Genomic DNA, 23,728 nt, shown 5'->3' on the forward strand with positions numbered 1-23,728 from the left:
TATAAATTTATTTATTTAATTTTTTTTTTTTTTTTTTTTTGTAGAGATGGGGGTCACACTATGCTGCTTAGGCTGGTCTTGAACTCCTGATCTCAAGGAATCCGCCCGCCTCGGCCTCCCAAAGTGCTGGAATCACAGGTGTGAACCACTGCGCCCAGAGTTTTAATGGAGGTTTCAATACTTAGGTACAGCTGATTAATCATTGGCCAATGGCAATTGAGCTCAACCTCCAGCCCCTCTTCCTGAGCCTTCTGCACCTCTAGAATCATGTGGTTGGTTTTTCTGGTGACCAGCCCCTGCCATCCTGAAGCTATCTAGCCTCCGCCTCCCCTAAGTATCATCTCATTAACATATAAAAGACAGGAAATTCAAGAGGTTTTAAGAGTTCTGTGCCAGGAACTAGGGACAGAGACCCCAATGCATGCTTTTTTATTATTCCAAGTTGTCAAGTTGTCGAGAGTCCAGACACCTTGCCTCATTGGTCAGTCTTTCCTCAAGATCGAGACCCTCCCAGCTTCCCTGACCCTCATGCTACAGCCCAGTCCCATTGAAGCCTCCCCCTGCCGACTGGGCTGGTGTAGACCCCTGGTGGGCCTTGGTGGGAGGGTGTCCACTGCCTTGCTGGCCTTGGCAGATGCTGGGCTGCCCCAGTCCCCTCCCTGGGAACAAGGGGGAACAATGCATACACCTCCCTGCTGGCTCTGGGTGTCTCCAGCGTGTCAGGCCCTCGAGGTTCCTCCAGCTGCAGAACCTTCTGGGGGGCATCCTGCCTTGGCCAGCTCTGTGCTTGCCAAGCTATGATTAAGATTCTTTGCTTCACCAGACTCCCTGGACTTCTCCTGAGTCCATCTGTGCGCTTCCGTATCAAATCCAACTTTAGCAAGAACTCCCGACCCTGGATACCTGATCAGGCCGCTCACCTCCCACCCCCACCTGGGATGTCTGCTCACCCCAGCCTGCCTGCAGCAAGAATCCCATTAGGTCAGTTTACCCAGAATCTCCCTCACCCTTGATGCTTCCACTCAGGAATTTTCCACCCTCTCACTCCCACCCACTCCTGGGCCCTAAATCCCCACTAGCCCATGCAGTATTAGGAACTGAGTCCTATCCCGTACTAAGTCTCCTCCCTATTCAATATTCTGCTACTCCCCTACCGCAATAGTCCTGGATAAAAACTGTATTTATTAACAACTTTTTTTTGAGACAGAGTCTCGCTCTGTTGCCCAGGCTGGAGTGCAGTGGTACAATATCGGCTCACTGCAACCTCCACCTCTTGGGTTCAAGCGATTCTCCTGCCTCTGCCTTCTGAGTAGCTGGGATTACAGGCACCTGTCACCACACCTGGCTAATTTTTGTGTTTTTAGTAGAGATGCCGTTTCACCAAGTTGGCCAGGCTGGTTTCAAACTCCTGACCTTGGGTGATCCACCCACCTCACCCTCCCAAAATGTAGGGATTACACGCATGAGCCACCGCACCTGTCCTATCGCTTTAACTTCTGTTCAGCTCTAGTCACCCCACAGCCCAGCACAGAGCAGGTGCCTGTAATCCCAGCTGGACAGCGTGTCTGAGTATCAAACAGCTATTCCTCAGTCTTGAGGAAGGTACAGATCTGATTTGAAAAGAAAAGCAACTTCTCTGGGACCCCCGCTTGAATAGCTGACTTGAAAGGCTGAGCTCTTACTCTACGTAATTGTCTTCCAAGTGCAAATTAACTCTGCTAAAGGAATCCTTGGTCCCCATAACCATTTAGACACAATCGAGACAGAGAATTTCAATGTTCTTGGCAAGCCCCTGCAAGCCCGAGGCTGAGCTTCATGGCAGCAGAGTGAAGATAAGCTTGTTATCAGCTCACTGAGTTTGAACTAGAACCGGAAACATCCTGTCTCCCTGCCAGCCACACAGAATGCCCTAGAAGGCTGTGGGTGTGGCTGGCATCAGCATCCTGGCCTGGCCTGGTGCAGCCTTCTGGGCAAAGGAGGCGCTGACATATGTGGCTTGTACTGGACAGATGTGGGAGCCACTGCCCTCTCACTCCGCCTTCCTTCCCAAGGATGGCCGGCAGGGGTTGCCAGCATCCGGGTGGGCTGTGCCCAGACACTGGCCACCCCTGGAGCAGGCGGCTGCTCTCCCCACTCAGCGGCCCGCTGCCTGAAATAGATGCTTCCAGTTTTCTCCTGTGATTTTGATCTTTCTGAAAAGAGCCTCTGACACAGACGTGCACACACAGCCATCTCTAACAATCGATGGATGGCTGGATTTCCCTTCCTACTGGGACTGCCCTGATCCCAGGTGGGGAGACTCTGCTTCTAGGGCTGCCTAGCCCAAGTCCCATCCCGTCCACCCGCCACTTCCCTGCTCTTGACCTCAGCCCGTCTCCCGCTGGGCTCCGTTCTCAGGGCAGCATCTAGAGTTTAGTGGGAGGCTGGCCGGCGCCTGTGCCCGGACATGGAGCCCACTCTCTGTCCTTCCCCTTCCAGAGTCCCCAAGGATGAGAACAGAGGCTGTCACTTTCTCCCCTAGGAGGCAGGTGTGGTCTATGGGAGAGGCTGCCCTGCGCAAGTGCTGAACCCTGGCTGTTGGGATCACGGGTTATTGTGGGTTGAAAAGTGTTACCCCCAAACCTATGTCCATGTCCTAACCCCCGGAGCCTGTGAGCGTGACCTTATTTGTAAACAGGGTCTTTGTAGATGTAATCAAGTTAAGATGAGGTCACTGGGGTACATCCTAATCCAGTCATTGGTGTTCTCAAACAAGAGGACAATGTGGACACGCATGGTGGGAAGGAGGCCAGGTGAACACTGATGCAGAGATGGGGGCTGCTGCTGCAAGCCAAGGGGTGCTAGGGGTTGCCAGCAGCCACCGGGAGCAGGAAGAAGCTGGAGGAGTAGGCAAGGCTCCTCCCCCAGGGCCTTCCGGGAAAGCATGGCCCTGCTGACATCCCGACTTCAGACTGCTAGCCCCCAAACTGTCAGAGACCACGCCTCTGTTGTTCTAGCCACAGGGTCTGTGGGACGCTGTGACAGCAGCCCCAGGAAATGGATTCCCAGGCACAGCTGTGCACACGGGGGCGCTCGACGTGAAAGCTCATGCTGACCACACAGGCCCTGAGACCATGGTCCGACTTACGTAGGTACTTATCACAGGCTGCAAGCACCGCAGCCCCCAGTGACCTGTGCAGCGGAACAAAGGATTCCACGCCGACTGAGCCAAAGGCATCCCTTCCAGACATGGATGAGGTGCGGGTCATTTCAAGTTTCTTCTGCCTCTCTCACCCCAAGCCCACAGTCACACTGGTCCCCCTAGTGAAGGGCCCTTAAAAATAAGCTCCCGATGGCCGAGAAAGGTGCTCCTCTGTATTTAGGAAATGGAGCTGCCTGCTTCCTCTTTGGTGATGGGACATCGACTAGGACGGCCTCATGACATTTGCGAAGCGAGGTTGCTTCCGCTGTCCTCTCCTTTGGTGCTCGAGGCAGTGTGGCCAGGGGCAGGCGGGGGCCGTGGCTCCCCTCTCAGAAGCTGGGCTCAGCTGGGAAGTGACCCGAGGTCCCCGGCCAGGGACTGGGGAGCTTGAGTGGGACACCAGGGTCCCAGAGCTCTGTCCCTGGGATGGGACGAATGTATTAGGACCTCGAAGGAATCTTCAGCCCTGTTGGAATTCATGCCTCTTGGAGGTGAGACCTTTTCCACAGACAGTTAACACCGACACAGGTGCTCGAGGAAACAGAGCTGCATTTTAGGCGTGATTCTCACCATACCTCCATGTTTGGGTTTTTCACCAGGCAAGGGGCTTGCGAAAGACACAGCGAAGCTCCGGTTCACTCGCAGCCACCGCCTCTGGGGGACTTGGTGGGCTCTCTCCTGCTGGGCTCTGTCAGGGCTCTGTCCAGTGCTGGCCGAGGCCTCCCCATGTGCAGGGCACTGCCCTGTAGCCTCCCCGGTCCCCCAGAAAAACCGCACCGGCTTGGCCACCACCCCAGAAGCCAGGAAGCCAAGAGCAGCTCAGGCCTACCAGCTCCCGCCAGGCTCCCCTCTTCCTACTCCTGCCTGGGGTTCCTGTATCCCTGGAAAGGGAGGCACCATCAACCCACCCCCTCTATGCCCACCCAGCAGCCCAGGTGTTCTGCTGCAGACCCACTCCCGGTAGCACCTCTGGAAGGGGACACATCCCTGCCATGAACGACCTCAGCCTCCTTACAGCCCTTTCCCCATGTCAGTTAGGCAGAGGAGACCCTCCCTACCTGGAGGGTGGGCAGGAGCACAGCTGGTCTTGGAGCAGACGCCACCCCTCCCCTGCTGGAGCCTGCTGCATGCGTACCCCCAGGTGGGCTGGGGCAGGGGATGCTCTTCGGTTTTTGGCAAATGCTGCGTTCTACACCCTGGACCCTGCTTCTCACTATACCAGGGTCTTTCTATTCAAGACTAAAGTCTAGCCCACTGCTACTGCTGCTCAGTGAAAATCTCATCTGCTGGATCTGCTGGCGAGGCCTCCGTTCAGGAGGAAAGACCACATCCAAGGGGTCGGCTCGCATTTGGTCCCGGATTCGCGTGGGTTGGTGGGCTAAGAACTGAGCGATGTTGTTAGCGAAGGTCCCACGTGAAGGAGAACCCTGGGGAGGGGCCCGGTGGTGAAGGGGGTATACCCTGTAGGCTCAGCGCCCAAACCTCCCTTCAGTCCTGGGCCACGGGGCTCTCCCAGGCAGTCAGCGGGTGAATCTCAGGGCAGGACAAGCTCCAGGAGGGCCCAGAGGTGGTGGAAATGTGAGTCCAGCCTCAGGGCCTCCATGGAGCAGGTCTGAGAAACATCGAGGTGTGGATGGATGGTTATGGAGAGGAACTTGTCTAGCCTCATGAGCAGACACGTGTGGACCCAAACAGCCACGCTGCAGTGGTAAACGCTCTCCAGGAAGGTCCAGGGACACTGAGAAGGCGATGCCCCTGAGGGCCAAGCGGGGAGGGCCAAGGGGCTGGAGTGCCAGCGGACCCCCTCCCACCCCCTCCGAGACCTCATCCCTGTACTTTGCTGGGGGCTTCACCAGGGTCTGCATTTTCACATGTGCTCACTCTGCCTGTGTCTGCTGCAGCAAATGTTCTTTTTGAGGGAGAAAACACATACAGAAACTTCCCCTGGTGTTGCCTATGATGTGGCTCTTTCAGCTTCAAAGATGTGTCTGAGGCTCTTTCCCGAGGCCTTGAGACGGAGGCTGGAGCCTCTGCTCTGTGCCCTGCCCGCTGCCCCTCCCCCTCCCTCCCACCGCCTCCCCCATCTCCACCCGGCCAGTCTGACCCTAAGCTGCGTGGACGGGGAGTGGAGCTCTACCTCTTAATTTGTGGGCAGAATTCTCAAAACATTCCTACCACATGCAGAATGTCACACCTGACTTTCGCCCCAGCATCTGGGCTCTGATGGCGACCGCATGCCTGTTATCTACCCCCGGCCTCGGCAGCCCCGGTGTGATGCTTGCCATGGCCTGCATTCCAGGCATGGCTGCTTCCTCAGGCTGACTCAGTGGTTTTTTTCACTCAAATTCCCAAGCCTCCACTAAGCAGGAGCATGAATAGAGCTTTAATTCTACAACGATGCGCTAGTTACGTCTTTGTACTAAGACACTAAAATAAATATGCTCCATCAACATGAAGCATAGCCCTATATCCCACTTAGCCTCAGCTGTGGGCCCCACCTGGGGATGTGGTGTCTCTGCTCGTCCACCTGGTCCCTGGCCTGGAGTGATGTGAAACTCCCGCAGGCCTGGACTCTGGGTTCTGTAGCAGGCACAGTCAGGAGTGCTGGGCTAGGACCCTGCCGTATGGCCTTGAGGCTGGAGGGCTGGGGAGCGAGACTCTCTATGCGCCAAGCCTGTGCTGCCAGCTTCCCAGCCCGAGGCACGGGGGAGCCCGTGGGGGTGTGAGCTTCCTCCCTCCTGGGGTCTGTACATTTTATTGGAGAGCATGGATGAAACTTAAATGCGATGAGTAATTCCAGGCAGTACCCAAGACCACGTTTACCAGTGACAATGCCTGAGGTCAGGGTGATTCCCAGGAGGGCTGCATGGAGGAGGAGGCTTTGACCTCGGCTTTGAAGAATAATATGAGTAGGTGAGGTGACAGTTGGAAGGGGCAACCGGCATTTCCCAGGTACAGCCAGGCTGCCTGCGAACAAACGCACACAGGCGAGCAGACAGAGTGGGCCTCTCCTGGGAGGAGAGAAGCTGAGAGAATGCCTGGGCGCCTCCAGCCCAGGCCAAGCCTCGGGAGGTTGGGACTCCTGGTGCCCAGCAGGGCCCTGGAACACTCGTGCACCAAGCTCAGGGAGATTTATAGCTCAATTTAGTTCCTGTATGTCCCATGTCACAGCGAGTCATTTATCGAGTGCTTCAACTTGACAACAACTGAAAAATTAATCCCAACAGCAAGCGATTAACTCTGCAAGGGGATCAGATGTCTCATTTCCCAGGCTCTAATCTCCAGGCATTCGTCTATGAAGCGATTCGTCACTTTCTACCCAAGATGACACAGGCAGAGGCTGATCCTGGGCAAGCCGCGGGCCACCATGGGCTGCCTCTGGGGCTCGTCGCTGGGCGTCATTAAACCTGTGGCTCGAGGGTTCTCCGTGGCGCAGGGGGCCAGTGACGGACACAGCCTGGGGTGCAAGGGAGTCACCGTGTCCAGCTGCATCGGGACGTTTTCCTTACACACGTGTCTCAGGACGGAGGGTGACTCTGGTGCCCACCTGCCCTCTAAGCTGGACCCAGTTCCGGAAGCCTCTAGTCGTCAGCTTGGGCTGCCCTAACAGAGCACAGACAGGGCAGCCTAAACCACAGACAGGCTGGAGGCTGAGGTCTGAGAGCAACGTATCTCAGCGTTGGCTCCTCCTGAGGCCTCTCTCCTTGGATGGCCGCCTTCCCCCGTGTCCTCATGTGGTCATCCCTCTGTGCATGTCTGTGTCCAAATCCCCTCTTAAGGACACAGTGATATCGGATTAAGGCCCCCTCTAATGGCCTCATTTGACTTTAATAATCTCCTTTATTTTTTTTTGAGACAGAGTCTTGCTCTGTCACCAGGCTGGAGTGCAGTGGCGCGATCTCGTCTCACTGCAGTCTCTGTCTCCCAGGTTCAAGCAATTCTGCCTCAGCCTCCTGAGTAGCTGGGACTACAGCTGCCCACCACCACGCCAGGCTAATTTTTTTTGTAATTTTAGTAGAGAAGGGGTTTCACCATGTTGGTCAGGCTGGTCTTGAACTCCTGACCTCAAATGCTTCGCCCACCTCGGCCTCCTAAAGTGCTGGGATTACAGGCGTGAGCCACCGTGCCCGGCCTGATCTTAATCATCTCTTTAAAGACCCTGTCTTCAAATACAGTCACATTCTGAAGTACTGGGGATTGGAACGCTAATGCATGGATTTTTGAGGGACACAACTCAGCTGTGACGATCCCCAGCAGCCCCCTGCCATCCTGACTGCCGGTCCCAGCTCCTGTCCTGACAGCTCAGTCACTGGAACACTCAGCCACGTGAGGTGCAGGAGTGCAGTGGGACGCACGTCAATTCAGGGTCAGGAGCCTGGCACCCGGGCTCTTTCACCGAGGGCCATGCGATCATCAGCAAGACGCTTCTCCTCTCTGGGGGAACATGCAGCAGAACAAGACAATGTCAGAGGTTTGCTTCTGCCCTGCCACTTGAGCTTCCAGTGATGATCTGCGTGACATAGGGTTGAAGTCAGGATGTGTGATACATCCCTATATTAGTTAACACCCCCTCAGTGAATAAGAGCCCAGTCACATCAGGAGTCACTCCTCATCCAGGTGGGGTTGGGATAAGCTCACTTGCAATGGGTGATTCAGGGGTCCCTGCGTGTGCCGCAGAAGAGGCTACAGGCCTGGTGGACAGGAAGTCAGCAGCAATCTGAATAAAGTCATGAAAGAGAACTCGAAATGGCCTGGGGTCGCTGACCGGACTGGCTGCAGGAAGTCCCCGCTGGGGATGACAACCTTGCTTTGCCTTCTCCTTTGTGGGGAGCAGATGGTAGGAACAGCCTGTGCTGATAGGGGAGGAACTCCCGAGTCCAGCCCCTGTCCCCAGAAAACACAACATCTGCAACCCTCCCCTCCTGATAAGAAATCACAGGCACCTCCTTGACCCTCCAACCACTTCTAGAACATTCCATTCCCCTCCTAAGAGCCTGGCTTTGATGAGCCCCCAAGGGGGTCCAGTCTCAGATGGCCTCAAAAGTCAATGCGTGCTCAGATGATCACCCACAGTGCAGCTTCAGGGAGGGTTCCAGAGCGGCCTCTTTTCCACCTGTTCTGTCCTCTCGGATAATGGGTTCCCCTTGTAATCCTGGATTCCACCATGAGTCAAAGCTTGCAAGGACCTACCTGATCTTATTTTAACAAAGACTTTATATTTTGGAACATTTTTGGATTTACAGAAAAATTGCACTGCACAGAAAGTTCAGAGTTCCCAGATTCCCTCTCCTCCCCCCTCCCCCAGGTTCCTCTGTTAGTAACACCTTGCATGAATCGGCTGTTATTTGTTGCAATTAATGAACCGATACTGACACATTATAATTAACTAAATCCACAGTCATCAGAGGGTTCCTTCTGGGCATTGTATATTCGTTGGTTGTAACTATCTATAACGCCCCGTTCCCCCACTCCAGTGCCATACAGAAGAGCGCCACTGCCCAACAATGGCTGTGCCCCATCTTTCACCCTCCCTGCCCCCAATCCCTGGCAACTGCTGATTTTTCACTATCTCCATTTTTTTTTTTTTTTGAGAATGTCATATACAGGCACACCTCACTTCATTGCACTTCACGAACATTGCATTTTTTTTTTTTTTAACAAATCGAAGGCCTGCAGCCACCCCACAGAGAGTCAGCCCATCAGCACCATTTTCCCAACAGCACGTGCTCACTTTGCATCTCTGTGTCACATGTTGGATAATTCTCACAATATTCCAAACTTTCTGTCTGTTATCGTGATCTGTGATCTATACTTTTTGATGCTACTATTGGATTTTTTTGGGGGTGCCGTAAAACACACTCAAATAAGATGGTGAATTTAATCGATAAATATTGTGTGTTCTGACTGCTCCACCGACTGTCCACTCCTCCATCTCTCTCCCTCTGTGCAGGCCTCCTTACTCCCTGAGACACAACACTATTGAAATGGGGCCAGTTAAGAACTCTACAATGGCCTCTAAGTGTTCAAGTGAAAGGAAGCGTCACACATCATTCACTTTAAATCAAAAGCTAGAAACAATTAAGCTTAGTGAGGAAGGCATGTTGAAAGCTGAGACAGGCTGAAAGCTAGGCTTTTTGTGCCAAAGCTAGCCAAGTTGTGAATGTAAAGGAAAAGATCTAGAAGGAAATTAAAAGTGCTACTCTGGGCTGGGTGGGGCGGCTCACGCCTGTAATGTCAGCACTTTGGGAGGCCAAGGTGGGAGGATCACTTGAGCCCTCGAGTTTGAGACCCCATCTATATGAAAAATAACAAATAAATTAGCTGGACATGGTGGCATGTGCTTGTAGGTCGCAGCTACTCCAGAGGCTGAGGCAGTGGATCACTTCAGTGCAGGGGTTTGAGGCTGCAGTGAGCTGTGAATATGCCACTGCATTCCAGCCTGGGTGAAAGAGTGAGACCCTGTTTCAAAAGAACAACAACAACAAAAAAGCGCTACTCCAGTGAACATACAAATTATCAGAAAGTGAAGCATCCTCATTGCTGAAATGGAGAAAGTTTCAGTGGTCTGGATAGAAAATCAAGCCGGTCACAACATTCCCTTAAACCAAAGCCTAATCCACAGCAAGGCCCTAACTCTCTTCAAGTCTATGAAGGCTGAGAGAGGTGAGTAAGCTGCAGAACAAAAGTCTGAAGCTAGCAAGGGTGATTCATGAGGTTGAAGGAAAGAAGCCATATCCATAAAATAAAAGTGCGAGGTGAAACAGCAAGTGCTGATGGAGAAGCTGCAGCAAGTTCTCCAGAAGATCTAGCTGAGATCACTGATAAAGGTGGCTACACTGAACAACAGGTTTTCAATGTAGCCTGTTTAGGTTAGCTTCTTTTGCTTAATGATACGGATTTAAGTTTCCTCCATATATTTTGTGACTCAATACACCTCATTTCTTTTTTATGCCTCGATAGCCATTTCTTTTCATTGCTGAATACTTTTCCATTGTCTGAATATATCACAGTTTGTTTGACCACTCACCTACTGAAGGACATCCAGGCTACATCCAGTTTTTGGCAATAAAGCTGCTATAAGCACTTAACGTGCAGCCTGATCACATTTATTTTCTCTCTGTCTCTTTCTTTCTTTCTCTCTCTCTCTCTCTCTCTCTCTCTCTAGCTTTCCTTTATTTTTTTGTCTTGCTCTGTTGCCCAGGCTGGGTTGCCAGGATGCAGGCACAGTTCACTGTAGCCTCAAACTCCTGGGCTCAAGTGATCCTCCTGCCTTAGCCTCCTGACTAGCTGGGACTACAGGGACCCACCGCCATGCCCAGCTAATTTTTTTCTTTTTTTTTTTTTTTTCTTGAGACAGGGTCTCACTCTGTCACCCAGGCTGGAGTGCAGTGGTGTGAAATCAGCTCATTGTAGTCTCAGCCTCCCAGGATCAAGTAATTCTCCTGCCTCAGCCTCCTGAGTATCTGGGATTACAGGCATGTGCTACCACGTCCAGCTAATTTTTGTATTTTTAGTAGAGATGGGGTTTCTCCATGTTGACCAGGCTGGTCTCTAACTCCTGGCCTCAAGTGATCCGCCCGCCTTGGCCTCCTAAAGTGAGCCATCGCTCCTGGCCTCATTTTTTCTCATTTTAAATTTTTTTTGGTAGAGATGGGGTCTTGCTGTGTTGCCCAGGCTGGTCTCCAATTCCTGGGCTGAAGTGATCCTCCTGCCCTTGGCCTCCCAAGGTGCTGGGATTATAGGCATGAGTCACCACACCTAGGCGAGCCTGACTGTATTTTTACAAAGCCAGGGCCATAAATGTAGTGGCATTGCTGGTGTGACTCAGAAGGACCCAACCACTTCCATATTTCAAGTGCTCACCACATACCAGGCATTGCACTAAAAGCCTCATTCATTCATTCATTCATTCATTCATTCATTCATTCACCTCTTCACTCAATATTTACCAAGTGCCTCCTAGATGCAGGCTGTGTCCTGGGTGCTGGGAATGAAGCTATCAACTGGCCTCAGGATCTCACGAATTACAGACAAAAAGCAAGCAAGCAAACAGATGATCACATGTGAGTTCCAGGGCGGGGACTGAACCCAGGCCAGCCCACCCTGAGGCTCTTGCTGCTAACCACCACCTCCTCCTAAGAAGGGACTCACATGGAGGGCGTTCCATATGGAAGCTTCCAGACAGATGTTCTGGATGCTCAGCAGTGGGGGAGGAGCCCAGATGGAGTTGGCAGTCCTGGCTCTGAGGCTGGATGTGACCCTTGGGAGGCTCATTCCAGAGCTTGATGTCGGTCTTGCTGCTAAAGCCGGGAGCAGGGAGCAGGCTGGCAGCACCGCGGGGCCAGGGCAAGAGCTGACAGTGGGGCCTGGGGGAGCTGTGGGTGGGGGGCCCTCACAGCTGTGTCCTCCAAGATTCCCACAGTCTGGAAGGACAAGCAGAAAGCCCCCTGACCTGGGCTTTCCTGTGCAAAGGCCCAAGTGGTTCCGGAGATCCCCAGTGATCCCGAGGAGGCTGGGCCTGCACGTTTCCAACGGACAAGCGGCTTTCTTCATGCACACAGCTGCCCAGTGCATCTGAGCCCACCTGGACCCTGCAGCTGGGCTTTCTGCAGCCACAGCTCCCAGGCGTGCCGAGCCGGGGCTGAGTCACTGCTACTATTTGAACACTTTCCCCTTCAAAATGACAGTCTTTGGCAAATATGTTAAATACCAATTGAGAACAAATGCCACCAGGAACTCTGATCATCCTTCATCTGCTGAGCAAGGAAATGCCAGGGGAGAAGGGAGAGGAGGCGAGACCGTGAGGGGGCCCGGGGTCCATGCTCTCTGGCTGTTCCGTGGCAGGGGTCCAGCTGCCCACCAAGGAGGCCTGGGTCTTTCTGGGGATTCTCGGAGAGGTTCTTTCTATCTGGAGGTGTGCGAGGGGGAGCCCCCTGGCCCCCCGACTGGAGGCTCATTCACCTGCCCACTGGGGCTTCGGTAGGAGCGTCAGGCCATGGGCTTGTGGGCTTGATGTCATGTGGGGGACACCTGTACCTGCCCTCTGGACAATGCCACGGGAGCTCTCAGCAGGAAGGGAGCAGCCGGCTTCCCCCTGCGTCAGCATCGGGCTCAGCCCATTCGGCGTGCACGACCCAGCCCAGTCGTGCCTGTCACCGCCACAGAGCTGGCCTTCAAGACAGTGCCTGGACAGAGCTTCGGAGCTCAGGCTGGAGCCAGCCTGCCAGGGTTCCAAGCCTGGATCTGCCAGCTCTCACTTGGATGGTCTTAGACAAGTGGCTTACCTCTCTGTGCCTCAGTTTCCTCGTCTGTAACACAGAGGCAAGATCAGTGCTCCCCCATGGGGATGCTAGCTGGGAGGCCACGTGGGGAGGTAGTCAGTCCAGGGCCTGATGCACCTTGGGCCCCTGAGTTTTGCAGAGAGCCAGATTCTACACTTGGGCACTGGGTGAGTGAACCGAAAGAGACAGGACTGTGCACACCTGAGCGGGAGGCGACCAGAAAGACACACTGACGGCCCAGAGCGCAGGGATGAGGCAGCTACAGGAGAGCACAGGAGGGCTCCGGCTTCCTGGAGGACGTGAAAGAAAACAGCAGCACAGCTGCTGCATGGAGAGAAAGCAGCCCCCGTTGGAGTCGGCCTGCAGCGCGTCTGCACACGGAAGAGAGATGTGCTCGGGGCAATGTGCACACACACGCCTCTTAATAACGATTTCCTCATTTCGGAGACTCTTAATAACAATTTTCTCATTTCACAGACGCTATATTTTTTTTTCCAAGATGGAGACTCTTTCTGTCATCCAGGCTGGAGTGCAGTGGTGTGATCTCGGCTCACTGCAACCTCTGCCTCCAGGGTTCAAGCTATTCTCCTGCCTTAGCCTCCTGAGTCGCTGGGATTACAGGCACCTGCCACCACACCCGGCTAATTTTTTGTATTTTTAGTAGAGATGGGGTTTCACCATGTTGGCCAGGCTGGTCTTGAACTCCTGACCTCAAGTGATCCACCTGCCTCGGCCTCTCAAAGTGCTGGCATTACAGGCGTGAGCCATCACACCCGGCCCATAGACCCTATTTTTTTTAGAACACTTTTAGCTTTACCAAAAGAAACCAATGCAGAGAGCGTTCAGAGAGTTTCCACACACCACGCTTCTTTTTCTCACACAAATAGCAACACAGTTAACAGTCTGTCTGCTCCTGGCTTTTTTCACCTCAAATCACTTACTCGGGAGATCATTCCCTAGCAGGACCCCCAGAGCCGCCTCAGCTTTCTGACAGTGGCACGGCACTCCTCACACTGGGCGCTCCATAGCTTACCTGGCCCGCGCTTTCCTGGGGACACACCTGGACAAGTAGAGCTGTGGGATCCAGTCCTGTTAGCACAGAGGCTGGGCCAGAGGGCATCTGCATCGATCATTTTCATAGGAATTGATGAGCTGTCCTCCAAGGAGGACGTGCATCGTAACCTCTCCCCAAAACAGAAGACGGTGCGCCCTGCCCAGTCCCCTCCTGCCCAAATGGTAGATGATCAGACTCCAAAAAAAGAGCCCTCACACAAAACAGCCCTTTCCTCTTCCTGCCCCAGACCACCCATATTCTGGGGGGTTGCTTTATTTATTTATTTATTTATTTTGAGACAGAGTCTCACTCTGTTGCCCAGGCTGGAGCACAGTGGCGTGATCTCAGCTCACTGCAGCTTCCGCCTCCCGGGTTCAAGTGATTCTCCTGCCTCACCCTCCCAAGTAGCTGGGATTACGGGCACACACCACCACGCCAAGCTAATTTTTGGATTTTTAGTAGAGATAGGGTTTTGGCATGTTGACCAGGCTGGTCTCGAACTCCTGACCTCAAGTGACCTGCCCGCCTCAGACTCCCAAAGTGCTTGGATTACAGGCGTGAGCCACCGTGCTCGGCTTGGGGTTGTATTTCAAGTGGAGCAGAATGTCCTGGATCCTCTGGACACCCCGGTGAGTAATTCTATATACTAGCAAAAAATGATCACAAACAGAAATTCGAAAATACCTCTACCATATCTTCAAAAAATACAAACTAGGAATAAATAGAACAAAAGATGTGCCAAGACCTGTATAGCAAAAGCATTAAACATGGCTGAGAGAAATGGAAGATCTCAATAAATGGAGAGGTTTTAGATCATGTGGCAGGAGACTGAATCTCTCCCAACTGGATCTATGGACTCAATGTAATTCCTGTCACATCCCCAGTAGGGTTTTTTTTTTTTTTTTTTTTTTTTTTGGTAGAAAAGGACAAGCTGATTGTAAAATTCATGGGAAATGCAAAATATCTAGAGTAAGCAAAACAACTGTAAAAAAGGACAAAGTTGGAGGACTAACTTGACCTGATTCCAAGACTTTTTTTCGTTTGTTTTTTTTTTTGAGACTGGGTCTTGCTCTGTCACCCAGGCTGGAGCGCAGTGGCACGATCTCGGCTCACTGTGACCTCCAACTCCCGGGTTCAAGCGATTCTCCTGCCTCAGCCTCCTGAGCAGATGGGATTACAGGCACCCACCACCACACCCAGCTAGTTTTTGTATTTTTAGTAGAGATGGGTTTCACCATGTTGAACCAGGCTGGTCTCAAACTCCTCAAGTGATTCGCCTGCCTCGGCCTCCCAAAGTGCCGGGATTACAGGCGTGAGCCACGGTGCCCGGCCCACTTACTATAAAGATACAGTAATCAAGACAGTGGCACCAAGCTAGACAAATAGATAATGGAAGAGAAAAGAGAGCGCAGAGATAGCCCCACACACACACGAAGAACGGGTTTTTGATAAAGGGCAAAGGCAATTCAACAGAGTAGGAATCTGCAGGATTCTTCCTCTCTCATTTCTGCTGTTGGCTATGTGTGTCTTCTCTTTTCTCCTTCTGGATCAGCCTGGCTAGAGGTTTCTATTTTTTTGAGACATGGTCTCACTCCGTCACCCAGGCTGGAGTGCACTGGTGTGATCATAGCTCACTGCAGCCTCTACCTCTGAGGCTCAATCAATCTTCCTGCCTCAGCCTCTTGAGTAACTGGGACTACAGGCATGTGCCACCACGCACAGCTAATTTTTGTATTTCAGTAGAGACAAGGTTTTGCCATGTTGCCCGGGCTGGTCTCAAACTCCTGAGCTCAAGTGATCGCCCAGCTTGGCCTCCCAAAGTGCATCGATTTTCTCGACGTTGCCAAAGAACCAACTTTTGGTTGCTCCATTTTCCTTGTTTTTCTATTTTCTATGTCATTGATTGCTGTGAGCTTAATCACTTCTTCTGCTTGCTTGTTGTTGTTGTTGCTGAGACAGGGTCTTACTCTGTTGCCCAGACTGGAGTGCCGTGGTGCAATCATAGCTCACTGTAGCTTCAAACTTCTGGGCTCAAGTGATGTTCCCACTTCAGCCTTCAGAGTAGCCAGGACTGCAGACGTGCACCGTCACACCCAGCTAGTTTTTAACTTTTTGTAGAGATGGCAGGGGGGGTCTCACTATGTTGCCCAGGCTGGTCTTGAACTCCTTGCCTCAGGTGATCCTCCCATCTTGGTCTCCTAAAGTGTTGGGATTACAGGAGTGAGCCACCACACTTAGCCTTACTTTGGTTTTAATTTGCTCTTTTCCTTTTAGCTTCTAAAGGTAGAAGCTGAAGCAGTGATCTGAGGCCTTTCTTCTTTTCTAGTATAGATATTTTGTGCCAGAAATGTTCCCTTACAGACACTTTAGAGGCATTCCACACATTTTGATATGTTGTACTTTCATTTTCATTTGGTTCCAATATTTTCTAATTTCCCATTTGATTTCTACTTTGATCCCGGTGTTATTTAAAATAATACTATTTACTTTCCTAATATCTGGGGGATTTTCTAGAGATCTTTCTCTTACTGGTTTCTAATACGATTCCGTTTTGGTTAGAGCTCACATCTGTATGACTTGAATAGTTCCAAATTTATTGAGACTTGTTTTATGGACTAAAATATGGTTTATCTTAATAACCCTTCCAAGTACACTTGAAAACAAAGCACAGAGGATTCTTTCCACAACTGTCAGTTAAGTCAAGCTGGTTGATGGGTTTGTTCATGGTTTCCTATATCCCGGCTGACTTTCTGTACACTTCCATCAGTTACAGAAGGAGAAGTGATTATACTTGTAGTTTTATTTATTTTTCCTTGCAGGTCTATTTTTTGCTTCATGTATTTTGAGGCTCTGTTATTAGGTACATACATGTTTAGTGTTTTTAATGTCCTTCCATAGAACTGACCCTTTTACCATAATGAAATAACCTTCTTTAATACTGTTAACATTCTTTGTTCTAAAATCTATTTTGATACTAATATCGTCATCCCAGTTTTCTTTGGATTAGTGTTAATGTGGTATATGCCTTTCCACCTTCTTACTTTTAACTCTTTTGTGTCTTTATAATTAAAGCGAGTGCTCCTTGGAGGTGAGCATTTATTCAACTTGAAGAATCTGCCCTTAAAATAAGGGTGTTTATATCGTCTGCATTTAATATGTGATTATTGATAGGAAGTTTAACTCTGTCCTCTTTCCATTTTGCTTTTCATTTGTCCCTTGTATATTTTGCCCACCCCCGCCAATTCTCTCATTTTCTGCCTTCTTTTGGGTTGATAATTTGTTTGTTTGTTTGTTTTGAGACAGAGTCTCGCTCTGTCACTAAGGTGGAGTGCAGTGGCACGATCTCGGCTCACTGCAACCTCCACCACCTGGGTTCAAGCGATTCTCCTGCCTCAGCCTCCTGAACAGCTGGGATTACAGGCACCCACCACCGCGCCTGGCTAATTTTTGTATTTTTAGTAGAGAGGGGTTTCACCATGTTGGCCAGCATGGTCTCGATCTCTTGATCTCGTGATCCGCCCACCCTGGCCTCCCAAAGTGCTGGGATTACAGGTGTGAGCCACTGTGCCTGGCCGGGTTGATAATTTTTTATGATTCCATTTTATTTCCTCTGTCACCTTATCAGCTATTATTCTTTGTTTTGTTATTTCAGCAGTTGCTTTAGAATTTATATTTATAGTAGACACCCTTAACTTATCACTGCTGATGTTCTACCACTTCGTGTACAATACAAGAACTTACAACAGTACACTTCCACTCTTCCCCTCCTAGACTTTGTGCCATTGTTGTCACACCTACGATCTTTCCATGTCGTAATCCCCAAGCTACATTTATTCTTCTGTTTAAAGACAGTTATCTTTCGAAAGAATTAAACAAAACAAATTTTACATATATAGCCATGCAGCTAAGTCCTTCCTTCCTTGGTGTATTTCCATCTGTGGTCACTTTTTTTTTTTTTTTTGAGATGGAGTTTTGCTTTTGTTGCCCAGGCTAGAGTGCAATGGTGTGATCTTGGCTCACCGCAACCTCCGCCTCCTGGATTCAAGTGATTCTCCTGCCTCAGCCTCCTGAGTAGTTGGCATTACAGGTGCATGCCACCACACCTGGCTAATTTTGTATTTTTAGTAGAGATGGGGTTTCTCCATGTTGGCCAGGCTGGTCTTGAACTCCCGACCCCAGGCACTGTCTTTTTATCTGAAAGACAACCTTTCATATTCTTTATAGTGTACCTGCTGGTGATGAATGATTAAACCTTTTGTATTTTTCAAAAGTATTTTACCTTTGTTGAAATAATTCTGTTTGAATTATGTTGAAATAACTCTGTTGAATAATTCTGTTTTTTCTTCTCTTTCAATACTGTAAAGGTATTTGTCCACGATCTGCTCACTGGCATTGCTTCTGACACTATGCCTGCTGTCATCTTTCTCTTTCGTCTTCATGTGTCACGTGTCCTTTTATCCCCATGTGGCTGCTTTTAACATATTTGTCCTTATCTCTAATTTGGAGCAATTTGAATCCTATGTGCCTGGGTGTGTTTTTGTTTCTTTTTCTCTCATGTGTCTTGTGCTTGGAGTCTATTGAGCTGCTTGGGTGTGTGAGTTCATTGTTTACTTCAAATTTGGAAAAAGTTCCCTCATTATTTCTTCAAATATTTTTCTTTTCTTTTCTTTTTTTTTTTTTTTGAGATGGAGTCTCACCCTGTTGCCCAGGCTGGAGTGCAGTGGTGCGATCTCAGCTCATTGCAACCTCCGCCTCCTGGGTTCAAGAGATTCTCCTGACTCAGTCTCCCAAATAGCTGGGATTACAGGCACCCACCACCATGCCCAGCCAACTTTTCATATTTTTAGTAGAGATGGGGTTTCACCGTGTTGGCCAGGCTGGTCTCGAACTCCTGACCTCAACTGATCTGCCCGCCTCAGCCTCCCAAAGTGCTGGGATTACAGGCATGAGCCACCGCACCCAGCCTTCAAGTATTTTTTCTCCCCTCCCCCTACAATCGCCCCCTCTTCAGGGACTCTACTTACATGTATATTGGGCTGTTGGAAGCTATCTTGCAGCTCACTGACTGATGTTCTTTTAAAAAGAATTCTTTTTTTTTCTCTGTGTTTCACTCAGGATAGTTTCTATTGAGACTTCTCTGAGTTCACTATTACTTTATAACATTTAATCTACCCTCGATCTCATCCTGTGTATCCGTCATCTCAGACACTGTGGTTTTCATCACTGGAAGTTTGATTTGGGTTAAAATGTAAAGAACTGCTTTATGCTAAAATATATACAACAAAATTTATCATATTAACCATTTAAAAATGGACATTCCAGTGGGCTTTCAAAATATCTTCTGTGTCTACATTTAACTTTTTGGACATATGGAATACAGTTTTAATGATTCTTTTAATATCCTTGTCTGCTAACTCTAACATCGGTGTTAATCCCCAGTCAATTTTGATAATGGATTTTTCTCTTCCTTACGGGCTGTATTTTCCTGCTTCTTTGCAAGACTGGGAATTTCTGAATGGATGCCAGACATCATGAATTGTACTTGTTGGGGGCGCTGGGTAGTTCTGTATCCTGGTCTTGAGCTTTGTTCTGGGTGTAGTTAAGTCACCTGGAAGCAGTTTCATCCATCCATCCATCCATCCATCCATCCATCCATTTATTTATTTTTGAGATGAAGTCTTGCTCTGCTGCCAAGGCTGGAGTGCAGTGGTGCGATCTCGGCTCACCGCAACCTCCGCCTCCCAGGTTCAAGCAATTCTTCCTGCCTCAGCCTCCCGAATAGCTGGGATTACAGGCGCGTGCCACCATGCCCGGCTAATTTTTGTATTTTTGTAGTAGAGATGGGATTTCACCATGTTAGCCAGGTTGGTCTTGAACTACTGACCTTGTGATCCACCCACCTCGGCCTCCGAAAGCACTGGGATTACAGGCGTGAGCCACCACGCCTGGCCTCAATGTCTTCAATGTGGATGTTCTTCCAGTCTCTGCCTGAGTTCCCTCTCCCTGCCCCACAGCCTGGAAACGCTCAGTGCAAGAAGCTGGGGCAAGTATAGGGCTCATCCCATCTGTTTCTCATGCTTTAGTGATCACTATCATTTATTACCTGGTGTCTGGTTGTAAAACCTATTACTTTATATATTTTATCTTTTCTTTCAGTTGTTTCATGAGGAAAGGTAAATCCAGTTTCTGTTTCTCCATCTTGGCCACAAGTAGAAGTTGGAGCAGAAGTAGGCATTATTATTATTATTTTTTTTAATTTTCAAGTTCCTTTTCTAATGGAAAATCGCAAACATAAAGCAATGTAAAGAGTAATACTGTATTAGTCTGTTTTCACGCTGCCGATAAAGATATACCTAAGACTGGGTAATTTATGTAGAAAAAAAGGTTTAATGGACTCATAGTTCCACATGGCTGGGGAGGCCTCACAATCATGGCAGAAGGGAAAGGGCATGTTCTACATGGCAGCAGGCAAGAGAGAATGGGAGCCAAGAGAAAGGGGTTTCCCCTTATAAAATCATCAGATCTCATGAGACTTGTTCACTACTATGAGAACAGTATGGGGGAGAATGACCCCATGATTCAGTTATCTCCCACTGGGTCCCTCCCACAACACATGGGAATCATGGGAGCTACAATTCAAGATGAGATTTGGGTGGGGACAAAGCCAAGCCATATCAAATACCATGATGAGCTCCATGGTCTACCCTGAAGCTTCTGCCATCGTCCATCTCATCGCATTATTTTTAATAAGACAAAGACCACACTTCCCTGACTTTACACCACCTCACTTCTCAGGGATGCTGTTAAGAGTTGACCCCAAATGGGAGTGGAAAAGTGACACTGCACCCTCGCAGGACAGGGATACTCCCCTCATCAAATCCAGGGCTGGGACCACAGTCCCCAGTCCCCAGGCTCATTCGCAGAAGCATGGCTCCCACTGTCTGAACCGCAACATGGTTGCCAAGACTTTCCACTCTGAGTCCTTCTGAAGTTTGCAGTCACAATTGACAAGATATGGGTGACATTGATCCTGAAAAGGAAGAAATTCTGGTGTTTCTAAGAGTGAAATTTACCCCACCCTGCCCTTCCCCTCCCGTGTTTGATGGTGAGTGTGCCCCGAGCAGCTATCCTGGCTTGCACAGATACTACCAGAGCAGACAAGGGTGATTAACAAGTAATTCATTTAGTCTCCATCATAACCACTTAGCAATCCATTTCCTCTCTATTTCCTGTTCAGAGACCTTTGGATATGCCAATCTGAATAATTGATTGGAGCAGAAAAGCCTCATGCCTTTGAAGTCCCTCATTAATTACCTGGACAGGAAGAAGGAAGAATCTCTACTCAGCCACAAAGCGGCTAAACACGATCAAAGAAACCATACCCGGCTTTGATGGTTCCCTCCGTTAGCCAGAGGCACCATTTCCCCTCGAGGCTGGAGGAATGCTTCTGGAACCCTCTGAGCTGCTGCTGAATGCCACCACCATTGTTATCGGGTGGTGCCACCATCTACTCTAAGTTAAACACACCGGGCTATGATTGATGGAGAGGTGTCTGCAGAGCATCTGTTATGAAGCTGTGATTGGCTAAATTGTGTCCCTCTTAACTCCTATGCTGAAGACCTAACCTCCGGTACTCAAGGGTGTGACTCTATATGGAGACAGGGCCTGTAGAGAGGTAATTAAGTTAAAAGGACATCATGAGGATGAGCCTTAATCCCGGCTGACTGGTGTCCTTATAAGAGCTGGAGATGAGGCCGGGCGTGGTGGCTCATGCCTATAATCCTAGCACTTTGGGAGGCCGAGGTGGGTGGATCACGAGGTCAGGAGTTTGAGACCAGCCTGGCCAAAATGGTGAAATCCCGTCTCTACTGAAAATACAAAAATTAGCCGGGTGTGGTGGCGGGTGCCTATAATCCCAGATACTCGGGAGGCTGAGGCAGGAGAATTGCTTGAACCCAGGAAGTGGAGGTTGCAGTGAGCCAAGGTCGCACTACTGCACTCCAGCCTGGGTGACAGAGCAAGACTCTTGTCTCACAAAAGAAAAAAAAAAAAAGAACTGGAGATGAGGACACAGACACACATAGACAGACGACTACGGGAGGACCCAGGGAGAAGGCAGCGCCTACAAGCCATGGAAGGAAGACCCAGACCCTGAGACACCTTGATCTTGGACTTCTGGACTCCAGAACTGTGAGAGTCAACGTCTACTGTCCCAGCCACCCTGTCTGTGGTGCTTTGCTGGGGCAGCCCGAACTAAGACAGATGCCACACCCTGGAATAGCTGCAGGGCTGGGAGGGAAGCTGCAGACACCCTATGTATTTGTCCAACCCAAACACGTCAAATGGACTGAGCTATTCAAACCAAAACTCAGCGAGGAGACGGGCAACAAAAGAGTTAATGGGGAGACAGGATGTGAAATGGGTCTGGGCCATCAGCTGATGGCCAGTACTGGAGGCTGGGTGCAAAACTGCCGTGAGGCCAGCAGCGGGGTGGTGGAGTCTGGCTCCGATCCTGCCTGCAATGGATCCAGTGAAAGGGTCAGGGCAAAGCTTCCAACAAGGATAACCTAGAAAGCAGGCCCGCAGGCAGCTGTAGCTGCAGCCTCTTCCGCGAGACTTAAGCTGAGGAGGCTGGAGCCAGGGATCCTTCGAGGGGCGGCGCCGTCTCCAGCACCAGGAAGAATCTTCACTTCCTCTTCGAAACCGCCCTGGAAGTGAGCTTAGGGACAGAGCTCAGGCAAGGCAGTGCCTCACTCGGTGGGTGAAGCCTCCTTGCCTCTCTCACAGCTCCCTGAAAGCTCCTTGCAGAGAACTTCTCTGTTTAATAACCTCGGAAAAGCATTAAAAGCGAGTCTGAAGAACTCATTTAATGGATTCTTGGAGGCGGCTGCAATCCTCGGAGCTCCGTGAAGCTGGGGAACTTATTCTTGGTGGAGCCTCCAGCTGGAGAGAAACTGTTTGAATTTCCCCAAAGCCAATTCGAGTTGTTGTTCCTTCTGGGAGGATACATCTCCCAGCACCTCCCCTCTCCCATGTGGGCAGCGGATTCCTGCCCCCCCCGCCCACTTCCTCCCGGCCGGGAGCTGTTCTTTTCAGCAAAGCCACGAGTAGCAGGCAGGGGCGCCCCAGGCCAGGCATGGTCCGTCTGGAAGAAGCCAGGTTCAGGGAGCAATTCTGCAAGATAAACCACCCTCTGGAGGGTGTGGCTCCAAGACTTTGATTCTTTGAGCCACCATGGCTAGACAGCCCCCTCCTTCCTTTCTGACAGAGGACTTGAGCCCTTGGCACCGCAACCCAGCTGTTTATAGATGGCTGAGAAGCCTGCCTGTGTCCAGCAAGAGTGCAGCTGTGTGGCCAGTGGACTCAGCATCCACGTCCGAGGGACTGCTCACGTTCTCTGAAGATGTTCAAGGCTGCCCATGTGCCCTTTCCCCGTTTTCAGGCATGCAGCATGCAGGCCCCACTCCTGCCGCTGGACTTACAGTGAACGGAGCCAGGAAAGCGAATCTGCCTTGACTTGTCCTGGATTCTGCAGGAAGGCCCCACCTGAACCACCTCAGTCCCACAGAGAGGGGGATCCTCTGTCCTCTCAGGGCCAATCGGACTGAGGACAGTCCCAAACCCCCGGGCCATCCCGAGCCTAAGTGTGTAGTGACCCCAGGGGAGGCTGGTGGCTAAGCCATGCCGCTGGGGTCCTGGGGGGTCAGGCTCGGGAGCGTCTGGGGTGATCCTGCTCATGCGCCTCATGGACGCATCTTGCCCCGGTTTCCAGGTGCGGTGGAGCGGGGAGCTCCGGGGCTGGCAGAGTGAGCAGGGCCTGGGTCCTGAGGGAGAAGGCGGCTCGTAGGCTGCTGTGCTGGGCAGAGGGTGGATGGCGGGGTTGACCAACGATGAGGCCCCAGGAAGAGAGGCATGGGTGGCGCTGCCGGCCGCTTCCCCATCTTACCTCTGCTGGTGCCGCAGCCCTCTCCTTTCTGTGGCCCCTCCCCACGTGGAGGATACCGAGGAGGTTAGGACAGCCCTCGGGCTCAGGAGTGCCCAGTGACCCAGTCCTGGCCAATCAGGGGTTCCCGTTTCCCAGGCCACAGTGATTGGTTGAGGGATGGTCATCCAGGCCAATCAGAATCCTGCCTGGGTTTTTCCTCTACATCTACTGGGGAAGATGCTCTCCTGTCCCTGGGGGGCTGTGATGCTGGCAGATGTGTGAGCACG

The 23,728-nt window shown here is 50.8% G+C and overlaps 1 protein-coding gene across 32 annotated transcripts in view, besides 6 other annotated features; it reads right to left on the reverse strand.

Annotated features, from left to right (window-relative positions):
* The window catches only part of SHANK2 (SH3 and multiple ankyrin repeat domains 2), a 785,381-nt gene that overhangs the window by 78,225 nt on the left and 683,428 nt on the right, over nt 1-23,728 (reverse strand). The window lies entirely within an intron of this gene.
* Nucleotides 326-1,160: an enhancer, noted in NCBI's record as "H3K4me1 hESC enhancer chr11:70392509-70393343 (GRCh37/hg19 assembly coordinates)". NCBI's record gives its function as "activates a minimal SCP1, AML or CMV promoter by ChIP-STARR-seq in naive H9 embryonic stem cells {active_cell/tissue: H9 hESC(naive)}" and the evidence as "EXISTENCE:reporter gene assay evidence [ECO:0000049][PMID:30033119]".
* Nucleotides 1,597-2,547: an enhancer, noted in NCBI's record as "H3K4me1 hESC enhancer chr11:70393780-70394730 (GRCh37/hg19 assembly coordinates)". NCBI's record gives its function as "activates a minimal SCP1, AML or CMV promoter by ChIP-STARR-seq in primed H9 embryonic stem cells {active_cell/tissue: H9 hESC(primed)}" and the evidence as "EXISTENCE:reporter gene assay evidence [ECO:0000049][PMID:30033119]".
* Nucleotides 5,292-5,807: an enhancer, noted in NCBI's record as "H3K4me1 hESC enhancer chr11:70397475-70397990 (GRCh37/hg19 assembly coordinates)". NCBI's record gives its function as "activates a minimal SCP1, AML or CMV promoter by ChIP-STARR-seq in naive H9 embryonic stem cells {active_cell/tissue: H9 hESC(naive)}" and the evidence as "EXISTENCE:reporter gene assay evidence [ECO:0000049][PMID:30033119]".
* Nucleotides 6,952-8,151: an enhancer, noted in NCBI's record as "BRD4-independent group 4 enhancer chr11:70399135-70400334 (GRCh37/hg19 assembly coordinates)". NCBI's record gives its function as "activates an origin of replication core promoter dependent on BRD2, P300/CBP, MED14 and CDK7 cofactors, and independent of BRD4, by STARR-seq in HCT116 cells {active_cell/tissue: HCT116}" and the evidence as "EXISTENCE:reporter gene assay evidence [ECO:0000049][PMID:35650434]".
* Nucleotides 11,237-11,967: an enhancer, noted in NCBI's record as "H3K4me1 hESC enhancer chr11:70403420-70404150 (GRCh37/hg19 assembly coordinates)". NCBI's record gives its function as "activates a minimal SCP1, AML or CMV promoter by ChIP-STARR-seq in naive H9 embryonic stem cells {active_cell/tissue: H9 hESC(naive)}" and the evidence as "EXISTENCE:reporter gene assay evidence [ECO:0000049][PMID:30033119]".
* Nucleotides 11,968-12,698: an enhancer, noted in NCBI's record as "H3K4me1 hESC enhancer chr11:70404151-70404881 (GRCh37/hg19 assembly coordinates)". NCBI's record gives its function as "activates a minimal SCP1, AML or CMV promoter by ChIP-STARR-seq in naive H9 embryonic stem cells {active_cell/tissue: H9 hESC(naive)}" and the evidence as "EXISTENCE:reporter gene assay evidence [ECO:0000049][PMID:30033119]".

This window comes from Homo sapiens, chromosome 11, assembly GCF_000001405.40.
Source record: "Homo sapiens chromosome 11, GRCh38.p14 Primary Assembly".
NCBI lineage: Eukaryota > Metazoa > Chordata > Mammalia > Primates > Hominidae > Homo > Homo sapiens.